Source organism: Homo sapiens, chromosome 12 (genome assembly GCF_000001405.40).
Source record: "Homo sapiens chromosome 12, GRCh38.p14 Primary Assembly".
Taxonomy (NCBI): domain Eukaryota; kingdom Metazoa; phylum Chordata; class Mammalia; order Primates; family Hominidae; genus Homo; species Homo sapiens.
The window spans coordinates 70,108,745-70,115,020 of record NC_000012.12 but is presented as its reverse complement, the minus strand read 5'-3'; the positions used below and the strand labels follow the sequence as shown (position 1 = coordinate 70,115,020).

General features: G+C 37.7%; 1 pseudogene, besides 1 other annotated feature; it reads right to left on the bottom strand.

The window, feature by feature from the left end:
• LOC100125409 (histone PARylation factor 1 pseudogene) lies at nt 713-1,363 on the bottom strand (annotated as a pseudogene).
• Nucleotides 4,666-4,866: a silencer, noted in NCBI's record as "peak1795 fragment used in MPRA reporter construct". NCBI's record gives its function as "represses an SCP1 promoter by STARR-seq MPRAs in K562 erythroleukemia cells {active_cell/tissue: K562}" and the evidence as "EXISTENCE:reporter gene assay evidence [ECO:0000049][PMID:32103011]".

Below are 6,276 nucleotides of genomic sequence, written 5' to 3'. Positions count from 1 at the left end.
TGAAAGTAGCTATCCAATTTTCCCAATACCATTTATTGAACATGGTATCCTTTCCTTAACCTAAGTTCTCCTAGGCTTTGCTGAAGATCCATTGGCTGCAAATATGTGACTATTTCTGGATTCTCTTTTCTGTTCCATTGGTCTTTGTGTCTATGTTTATACCAATATCATGTTGTTTGGGTTACTATATAGCCTTGTAATATATTTTGAAGTGAGGTGACGTGATACCTCCAGCTTTGTTGTGTTTTGCTCAGGATTGCTTTGGCTATTTGGGCTCTATTTTGGTTCCATATAAATTTTAGGATTGTTTTTTCTAATTCTGTGAAGAATGACATTGGCATTTTGATAGGGATTGTATTGAATCTGTAGATTGCTTTGGGCAATATGGTCATACTAATGATATTAATTCTTCTGATCCATGAACATGGGATGTTTTTCCACTTCTTTTTGTCACCTTCAATTTCTTTCATTAGTATTTTGTAGTTCTTGTAGAGATTGTTCACCTCCTTGGTTAACTTTGTATCTAGGTTTGGTGGGTTTTGTTGTTGTTGTTGTTGTTGTTGTTGTAGCTATTATAAATGAGATTTCCTTCTCAGCTAGATCATTACTGATGTATAAAAATGCTATTGATTTTTGTATATTGTTTTCTGTTCTACAACTTATCTGAACTCATTTATTAAATCTTAGAGTTTTCAGGTGGAGTCTTTTTTTTAACATTTTTAGTAAACGTTTATTTTTTACATTCCTTAAAAACAAAACAAAAATCACAAGTTTAATACTAACCCTTTGAAATATTGTACACCAAAGTCACCTTACTCATGCAGCAAGTTGGTCTATGTTCTCTTTACTTCTGTTTGCCAGATGATCCTCAATAATTTCTGCAAACAGATTCCTCTTCAACAGATTATATGCAAGAGGTAAAAGCTGGACAGCAACTTTATGAAAATAATGTGAGCCATAGCAAAAGAGGTCCATTCCCAACTCAAGCCCCATCCCATAATCACATTCATTATTAGCAAACTGCACAAAAGTCATCATTTCCTGAATGGGAGCAAAAGCTTTCAGCCTCAACTGTTGTCTTGCAAATTCTCTTGAGGTCAGCATCTGTTTCAGGGAGCTCTCTGTACCTAACATCATTTTTATCTACTGGAACAACAAAGCACCATGAAAGGTCTTTGACACAACTTTCTTATCTCTCTGTTTCATCTTCATGGTTCTCTGTTCCAGTGAGTACCCCCAGTTCTCCGGCTGCTTTTGTAAGTTTTTCATCTATGTTTTTCAAGAGATTAGTTTTCTTTTTATCTGTTACTTTGGGTTGAGTCTTTAGGTTTTTCAAAATATAAGATTATATCATCAGCAAAGAGGGACAATTGGACTTTCTCTTTTCCAGTTGGAGTGCCTTTTATTTCATTTTCTTGCCTGATTGCTCTAGCTAGGACTCTAGATATTGATTGCTCTAGCTAAGACTTCCAGTACTATGCTGAATAAGAGTGGTGAAAGTGGACATCTTTGTCTTGTTTACATTCTTAGAGAAAAGACTTTTGACTTTTCCCCCATTCGGTATGATGCTAGTTGTAGATTTGTCATATATGGCCTTTATTATTTGAGGTATATTCCTTCTATGCTTAGTTTTTTGAGAGTTTTTATCATGAAGACATGTTGAATTTTATTAAATGCTTTTTCAGGAATTTTGTGTCTATGTTCTTCAAGGATCTTGTTTTTTTTGTTGTGTCCTTGTCTGGTTTTGGTATCAGGTGATGCTAGCCTTGTCAAATGAACTAGAAAATATTCCATCCTTTTGATTTTTTGTAATAGTTTCATAAGGATTGGTATTAGTTCTTTGTACACTTGGTGTAATTCGACTATAAATCCATCTGGTACAGGGCTTTTCTTTTTTGGGAAATTTTTAAAATTACTGATTCAATCTCACTACTCATTTTTAGTCTGTTTAGGTTTTCTATTTCTTCTTGATTCAATCTTGACAGGTCATATGTTTCTAGGAATTTATCCATTTCCTCTGTGTTTTCCAGTTTGTCAGTATATAGTTTTTCATAAGTCTCTGATGATCTTTTGTATTTATGTGGTATCATTTGTAATGTCTCCTTTTTCATTTCTGATTTTATTTGGGTCTTCTTTCCTCTTTTCTTGGTTAGTACAGCTAGCAATTTATCAATTTTTTTATCTTTTTGAAAAACCAACTTTACATTTCATTGATCATTTGTATTGTTTTTTTTAGTCTCCATTTCATTCATTCCTACATTGATCTTTATTATTTCTTTTCTTATGCTAATTTGAGGATTGGTTTGTTCTTGCTTTTCTAGTTCCTTGAGGTGAATTGTTTTATTGTTAATTTGTAATCTTTCGTGTGTGTGTGTGTGTGTGTGTGTATGTGTGAGACAGAGTCTCACTCTGTCACCAAGGGTGGAGTGCAGTGGCACAATCTCGGATCACTGTACTACAACCTCCACCTCCCGGGTTCAAGCGATTCTCATGCCTCAGCCTCTGGAGTACCTGGGATTGCAGGTGCATGGCACCATGCCTGGCTAATTTTTGTATGTTTTAGTAGAGATGGGGTTTGGCAATGTTGGCCAAACTAGTCTCAAACTCCTGACCTCAAGGGATCCACTGCCTCAGCCTCCCAAAGTGCTGGGATTACAGGCATGAGCCACTGTGCCTAGCCTAATTTGTAATCTTTCTACCTTTTTGATGTAGGTGGTTATTGCTATAAACTTCTCTCTTAGCACTGCTTTTGCCATATCCTACAGTTTTGGTATGTTGTATTTCTATTTTCATTTCTTTTAAGAAATTTTTGGTTTCCATTTTAATTTTTTCATCGACCCTATGGTCATATAGGAGCATATTGTTTAATTTCCATGTCTTTGTATAGTTTCCAAAGTTCTGCTTGGTATTGATTCCTAGTTTTACTCCGTTATGGTATTAGAAGACACTTAATATGACTTCAATTTAAAAAAACCTGTTAAGACTCCTTTTTTGTCCTCACATATGGTCTCTCCTGAAGAATGTTCATGTGATGATGAAAAAAATGTATATTCTGCAGCTGTTGGATAGAATGTTCTGTAAATGTCTGTTAGATCCATTTGGTCTAAAGTGAAGTTTAAATCCAATGTTTCTTTTTTTATTTTCTGTCTATGTGATTTGTCTACTGCTGAGAATGGGTGTTAAAGTCCTCCACTATTATTGTTTTGTAATCTCTCTCTCTTTATACCTAGTAATATTTGCTTTATGAATGTGGGTGCACAAGTGTTAGGTGCATATATATTTAGAAGTGTTATATCCTCTTGCTGGATTGATCCTTTTGTCATTATATAATGACATTCTTTGTATTTTTCTATTTTTTGCTGCTTTTGACTGAAAGTTTGTTTTATGTGATGTAAGTATAGCTACTTCTGCTCACTTTTGGTTTCTGTTTGCATAGAATCTTTTTCTATCCATCTACTTTCAGTCTATACATGTCTTTATTGGTAAGATGAGTTTCCCGTAAGCAGTGTATAGTTGAATAATATTTTTAAAATCCATTTAGCTATTCTATATCTCTTAAGTGGATAATTTAATATGTTTATGTACAAGATTATTGATATGTGAGGCTTTGTTCCTATCATATTGTTAATTTTTTCTGGTTGATTTACATATTCTTTGTTCTTTACTTTTTCTCTTATTGTTTGTCATTGTGTTTTGGTGGATTTCTGAGTGATATCATGACTCTTTTCTCTTCTTCCTTTGTGTAATTGCTTTACCAGTGAGTTTTATACTTTCATGTGTTTTCATGATATTAAATGTCATTCTTTCACTTCCAGGTTCAGCATTCCCTTGAACATTTATTGTAGGACAAGTCTAGTGGTAATCATTTCCTCAGCATTTGCTTCTCTGGAAAGATTTTATTTCTCCTTCATTTTTAAAGAATAAGTTGGTCGGATATAGTATTTTTGGCTGATAGTTTTTTTAAAAAATCACTTTGAATATATTATCCCATTCTCTTCTGGCCTGTAAGGTTTCTGTGGAGTAATTCTTTTTTTTTTTTTTTTTTTGAGATGGAGTCTTGCTCTGTTACCCAGGCTGGAGTGCAGTGGCGCAATCTCGGCTCACTGCAAGCTCCGCCTCCTGGGTTCATGCCATTCTCCTGCCTCAGCCTCCCGAGTAGCTGGGACTACAGGCGCCCGCCACCACGGCCGGCTAACTTTTTGTATTTTTAGTAGAGACAGGGTTTCATCATGTTTGCCAGGATGGCCTCGAACTCCTGACCTCGTGATCTGCTTGCCTTGGCCTCCCAAAGTGCTGGGATTACAGGCGTGAGCCACCGCGCCTGGCCATTGGAATAATTCACATAGTTTGATGAGGTTTCTCTTATAGGTGACTAGATTCTTTTCTCTTAATTTTAGGAGTCACTCCTTATCTTTGACTTTAGACAGCTTGACTATAAGGTACTGTGGAGAAGACCTTTTGCATTGTATCTGCCTGAGGTTCACTGAGCCTCCTTTATATGAACGTTTAAATCTCTTGCTAGACTTAGGAAATTTCCTTCTATTATTTTGTTATGTAAGTTTTCCAATCCTTTCACATTTTCTTCACCCTTGGGAATGCCAATAGTTTAAATATTCTGCCACCTTATGTTGTCCCAAATGTCACGAAGGCTTTGGTCATGCCTTTTTAATCTTTTTTATTTGTTTTTATCTGCTGAATTGTTTCAAAAGACTTGTCTTTGAATTCTGAGAATTTTTCTTCTGCTTGATCTAGTCTATTGTTGAAGCTTTTACATGTATTTTTTATTTTCTACAATGAATTCTTCAGTTCCAGAATTTCTATTTAGTACCTTTTTTTTTTTAATGTATCTCTTTGGTAAATTTCTGATTCATATCCTGAATTATTTTTCTGATTTCTTTGTATTATTTTTCAGAATTCTCTTGTATCTCACTGAGTTTCTTTAAAATCAATATTTTGAATCCTTTATCTGGGATTTTGATTTTTTTTAGCACATCAGAGTTGCAAAGTATATCTGGGATTTTGACCTTTTTTTAAAATTAAGATATATTACTGGAGAATTACTGTGTTCCTTTGGAGGCCACATTTCTTTGATTTTTCATGTTTCCTTTGTCCTTATATTGACATCTGCACATCTGGTGTAATAGTCACTTCTTCCTATTTTTACATTAATTTTATAGGGGAAAATTTTTCCTATAGATGTATCTGTAGTGTTGGCTGGATAGGGCACTTTGGCTTTGATTTTGGGTGTGTGGAGTAATGTGGTCTCTGTATGATTTCTTTAGCTATAGTGTTAGTGGTATCTGTGATTTCCTTGGTAGGTTAGGGTGCAGTTTTTAGTGGAGTTTGTGGTGAAGTTGTGCTGGGACTAGGATGCCAGGTGGGCCAGTCTTCAGACCCTAGTGGTGGCAGGGGTGGGCTGAGAGTACCTATCCTTGTGCCCTAGGGCAGTTTATGCTAGCACTGGTGTTGGCAGTTACCAGCAGACCAATTCTTGGGCCTTCCTGTGGCTTACTTAGATGCCAGCAGTAGCAACAGTGGTCTGGGCAGATGGGCATGTTCTCAGACCCCTGGGAAGCTGGTATGAGAGATTGGTGATGGCATTAGCAGTGGTGGGACAAATCTCTAGGTCCCAAGCAGTGTGTGCTGATGTTGGAAGTGGCTGTGATGAGCTAGGTGGGCCAGTCTCCAGGCACACAGGTGGTGCTTGCAGGTAGATGCCAGCTGAGGAGGTTCTGGCCAGGAATTTAGGCCCAAATTCAAGCCCCTGGAGCACTCAGGTACTCAATGTGGTGAATTGGGTTGGACCATCCCCAGGACTCTGTGCTATGCCATCTCTCTCAGAGGGGGTAGAGATAAAGCCTTGCTGGGTAGGCTTGTGCTCAAGTTCCCTAATGAACTTGCTCAGCTAGTGCTGAGCAAGCACTAGCCATGGTCAGCAGGAACAGAACAATTCTCAGGCCCCAGGTGGAGTGCTAAGTTGAGGGTCTTTAACAGCCTTCAGTGGCAGGGCCTCAGTGGGGCATTCCTCAGTAACTATGGCCTTGCCTGTTCGCTAGGGACTGCAGGTCCCTCTCATGTCCCAGTCCCCATAGGCTTGTTCCCCAGCTTTGATGGCCATAGCCTACACCTAGCTTGTGTCCCAGCCCTGGCTGCAGGAGCCCCCATGCAGCTTGCAACTCAGTCCCAATGGCAACCTGTGCTCTGTTCACATCCCTTCTCAGTCCTGGCAGTATTCACTTCCCAGCCCCAGCAGCTGCAGCTCACTCCTTGCATGCT